The 3,678-nt window shown below is 43.9% G+C and overlaps 1 long non-coding RNA gene across 1 annotated transcript; it reads right to left on the minus strand.

The window, feature by feature from the left end:
* Positions 1–1,129: 1,129 nt before the first annotated feature.
* Positions 1,130–2,864, minus strand: LOC124904967 (uncharacterized). Its single transcript, XR_007067751.1, has 2 exons — positions 2,539–2,864; positions 1,130–1,996 (listed from the first exon to the last, which is right to left on the minus strand). It is a non-coding gene; the product is annotated as an uncharacterized LOC124904967 (long non-coding RNA).
* Positions 2,865–3,678: the final 814 nt, after the last annotated feature.

Here is a 3,678-nt window from a genome sequence, read left to right on the forward strand (position 1 = left end):
TCCTATGCTTTGTTTTCATCGAGGCAGTTAATCAAATAATAACCATAATCATAGTAATAGTAATAATTATGACTATAAGTTGTATTTAAATACTAAGTGCTTTGCCTGTATACACTCATTTTATCCTCACAACTATAGGAGGTAGCAACTAGTGTCATACTGAGGCATAGAAAGGTGAAGTAAGTCACCCAATTTTAAGTGGCAGAGGAAATTTTCATGCCCATATGGTGTGGCTTAAAGCCTGCACACTTGAACACTATACCAGATAGCATGGACTACTAGGCAGGATTAAAGAGAAGTGGCATAATTGTATCACAATTGGTATACTAAAGGAAAATTTGGTAAATATTTTTTCTAAGAGGAATACTTTGATTTTGTATAGCAGAACAATGTAAGTGAAGTAAATATTGTTTAGGAAGGATTTTAAGTTCATATTGATTTAATCTGCCTCACTGGGGATGTGTGCCTTAAAAACCCTCTTACTCCTTTTTCATCTTAGAGAGAGGTTTCCTTCCCTTTTTTGTGAGACAGTGTCTCACTTTGTCAGTCAGGCTGAGTGCAGTGGCAGTCATAGATCACTGTAGCCTCTACCTTCTGAGCTCGAGTGAGCCTCCTGTCTCAGCCTCCTGAGTAGCCACCAGCATAGCTGGGGCTACAGGGGTGCACCACCACATCTTATTTTTTGGTAGAGATGGGATTTCAGCATTTTGCCCAGCCTGGTCACTTGGAGAGAGGTTTCTAGTCACATATTCAGTATGTTATTTTCCTTTAGATCTTGCTTATTCAATTTTTAATCAAAGGCATGAATAAAGATATAGACTGCAAACATACGTTGGCTTATTTAATATCAGACTCAAAAATAATATGCCTAAGTACATAAAACCAAATGTAGTAGAAACAAGTATCAAGTTTTATCTTTAGTTTTATGAAATGTATTTTTTAAGATGTTTAAACTTGAAACACATGTCACAGTGTTATGTAAGTTTTGGTTCATTTGTCTCGCTCTGCTTCTGTATAATAGGTATAAGATGATCTTTCAGAATTCTTAGCAACTGTATAGTACTTATCTCCTAGAACTTGTTCAATAATAATTGCTAGATGGATTCATGGACTAAAGAATTAATAGATATAGATTGAAAACTAAAGTATTTTATTTTACAAAGATCAGAATTAATTTACTAAAATCTAAATTTCTGCTAGTAATATTAAATACACGTGGATAAACTACAAGAATGATAAAAATATTGCATCGTAAGAGTCATTAAAAACTTGATATATTGTTAGACAACAACAGTATATTATGATTGTTTTTCAGGCCTCTCATTCCAAGACAGATTTTAATACAATGCAAAGTATCAAAAATAACTTTAAAATATGATGAATGCTGTGAAATTCATGAAACATGAACAAAACCTTAGGATATTCCATGTTTATTTCAGAGAAGATATAAGAAATTGATTTTTACATACTTAAAGGCTTTCCAAAGCAAGATTAGAAATGTTGAGTTTTTCCAGAGACTTACATATTTCAGAAAAGCCAATTTCATCTCAAACTCTGAAAGTCATTTTATAAAGTACATTGGTAATCATTGCATCTGCTACTTCACAAGGTTTTGTGCTCTTTGAAAGGTGTCAAGCAGATCACCTTTCAAAAATGTTCCAGTTTTCTACTGAATGAACTGAAAGCCCTCCCAATTCCATATTCAAAAGCTTGCGCAATTTCATGATTTGAAAAATTATATAAAGTCCTAATGAATTCATTCTGCAGCCAAACCCCCAGGAGTCCTGTCCTCAGGACCTCCCTGAGCCGACTTCCACCGAGGGAGGGGGAGCTTCAGGAGGCGGAGCTTCAGGATGCCTGCTGTGTTCTGGGGACATCCGTGTCATATCCGGTTTTCAGCTTCTTCTTGAAGATTGTTTCGTATCGTGGCTTCATTTCTCAGAGAAGAGCCGCGAGGAGATAGAACCATCTCCTTTCACATTGGTCTCCTCCCCTCCTGGAAAACAATGAGCTCCTTTTACCTTTTTTTTTTTTTTTTTTTGGTTCGAGTGTGGTCATCTTGATTCTACAAAAGAGGTAGCTCAGGATCGTGATGAAATTTCGGTTTCTTTGAGACCGAAGCTTCTCACATTGTCGAGGTCTTCAGAAAGCCAAAGTGGAACCGCCGCGGAAATGATTGACAACCGCCCACATGACCCAGGCAGAGACGCAGACAGAGGCCCACTAAAGACACGCTGACATGCAAGAGACCGCTTTGTAGCGCACTGGGCACATAAACACACACGCTCACGGGCACACACACACAGAGAGACAGAGAAAGTGAGAGAAACAGAGAGTGAGTGACAGAGAGAAGAGAGAATGGGAGACACACGCACCCAGACATACAGCAGTGGCAGAGACACACAACCCCCAGGCAATCACTGAGGCTGCGGGTTTCTGCTGTTTGTGAGAATGACCCTCGGGTGAGAGAGTAGTCCTTGGGCACACGGGCAGACCTGTCCTCGAGATCACGGGGGGCACGACTTTGGGGGGACTCACCCGAACACCGTACGGGCAGGCCTGAGGCTGGGATGCCGCACTGCTTTCCCTGGACTCCGTCTGCTGTTTCTGCATCCTGGTAGGCCCTCCGTGTAGCATAGTGTCCCGAATCTGTTTTGTCGACCCCCTGGATTAGTCAGACTGGAGCCTCGACACCGACGCACCGCCACGGAGGGCTCCTGCTTTGTCAAGGCTCAGGGAATCGTCCTCAGCCAACCGTTGGAGTCACCGTCACGGGAGAATGGGCTCGTGCCTCCCGCATGCGCATTGCCCAGGCGGACTCCTGCTTTGCTCTTCGAACTCCGGCTGTGGCCGCTTTAAACAGGTTCAGCAACACGTGGCGGGGGTTCTGTGGCAGTCGCAGTGGCGGCTGGAGTGGGGATGTAGTAAGGGGCGTTATGGGAGTGGGGGCTTCGGGTCCTCCAGGGCCGGACCCCCGGGAGACCTGTTCTCAGAACCTCCTTGAGCCGACTTCTACCGGTGCAGGGGGACCCCGCTTCAAGGCGCCAGCTCGGGTCTCCGGACTCACAGGCTGGTGTGCATTGTGGTGATCAGAGCTCACTGCAGCCTCAATCTCCCAGGCTGAAGCAATTTTCTTGCCTCAGCCTCCCACGTACCTGGGACTACAGGCATGTGCCCCCACACTCAACTACTTTTCTCCAAAAACATTTTTGTACGAATGGGGACTTACTACGTTGCCTGGCTCATGTCAAACTCCTGGGCTCCAACTGTCCTCCTGCGTTGGCCTCCCCAAGTGCTGAGATTACAGGTGTGAGCTTGCTCCTGCAGCTAAATTCTTATATCTTAAATCCCTACCTCCCACAAGCAGATGTTAGGCCCACTTATTTTATCACTTTTTGCTGTTGATGTCTTTTTGTCCCTGGGCACAGGGATTAGTGACCCACTTTCCACCAAATTTCAAATCATTAGGGACATTATGTTGTGTCCCAGGAGTGGCTGAGGCTTCAAGTACCTGCTGCTCTAACCTAGGCCTGCTGAGGAGTACAATTCATCTTGTGTTTCTGTGTTGTTTAACAACCTTCCTGAGCTCCTCTAAGTCAGTCCATCCTGCCACAACTGGCAAGAATCAAGAAACTCTCCAAGAAAATGTTTCTCAACCTGCCTGTTGTCAAGTAGAAG

Source organism: Homo sapiens, chromosome 20 (genome assembly GCF_000001405.40).
Source record: "Homo sapiens chromosome 20, GRCh38.p14 Primary Assembly".
NCBI lineage: Eukaryota > Metazoa > Chordata > Mammalia > Primates > Hominidae > Homo > Homo sapiens.